General features: G+C 53.8%; 1 annotated feature.

Moving 5' to 3' along the window:
- Positions 657–716: an enhancer, noted in NCBI's record as "active region_3164". NCBI's record gives its function as "activates an Ori minimal core promoter by ATAC-STARR-seq in GM12878 lymphoblastoid cells {active_cell/tissue: GM12878}" and the evidence as "EXISTENCE:reporter gene assay evidence [ECO:0000049][PMID:35858748]".

Below are 983 nucleotides of genomic sequence, written 5' to 3'. Positions count from 1 at the left end.
CATGATGTCATTGTGCTTCTTTGGTCTTCTTGCAAATCTTCTAAGGCTTGAAGAGAGGTGCTTTGGAAATCTGATACTAAAGAAGTATTAAAGGGCCAGGCGGGGGTGGTTTATCACCCCTGTTATCTTAGCACTTTGAGAGCCCCAGGTGGGAGGACTGCTTCAGGCCAGGAGTTCAAGACCAGCCTGGGAAACATAGTGACACTCTTTCTCTACAAAAAAATTTAAAAATTAGCTGGACGTGATGGTTCATGTCTGTAGTCGTAGCTACTGGGGAGGCTGAGGCTCGAGGATTGCTTGAGCTCAGGAGTTATAGACCAGCCTGGGCAGCACAGCCAGACCCCATCTCTAAAAAAAGAATGAAAGAAAAAAAGGAAGTCTCAGGAATGTTACACAAGTCAGACATTCTTCCAGAAGCTTTCAGAGGAGGTTGCTCACACGGCCGCGGCTGCCTTGCATGCAAATTCGGATTTCTACCCCTCAGTAAGCCCCTCTAGGCTGAGTAGTCAGGGCTGCAGAGGAGGATCTCGCACCCCTGCAGACACCACTACCTTCCCTGGAGAGCCTCAGCTGGGCTGGCGGGACACTAGAGGAACTAGAGAAGTTCTCAGACTGTGGATGAACAGACAGGAAGGAGACATGGGGAGGGTGGCGTCCCCAGACGGCGCCCCTGAGAGGGGTGTGTCAGCCTAGAGAAACATCTCCAGGCTCCAAGAACTCGGTTTCCCAGGCAGAGCCTGCAGAAAGTGACCCACGAGGCGCTGCTTCTGAGCCACGCGGCTTGGTAGCTTTCTTGGCTGAACCAAGAGCTAAAGGGATTCGCGAGTGGGTGTTTGGAGACAGGAACATCCCTGGTTTCTGGGCACGTGGTGGTCTGTGCTGCCCAGGGCTCACTGCCACTCCTCCTTCAGGTGGCCGCGATGCTGGACTCAAGGCCCACATGAGCTGACGCGGCCAGGCGGTGGCTTTGCCTACCTGGGTCT

The sequence above is a fragment of the Homo sapiens genome, chromosome 10, assembly GCF_000001405.40.
Source record: "Homo sapiens chromosome 10, GRCh38.p14 Primary Assembly".
Lineage (NCBI taxonomy): Eukaryota > Metazoa > Chordata > Mammalia > Primates > Hominidae > Homo > Homo sapiens.
The sequence above is the reverse complement of the archived record's forward strand: the minus strand, read 5'-3'. Positions and strand labels throughout refer to the sequence as shown.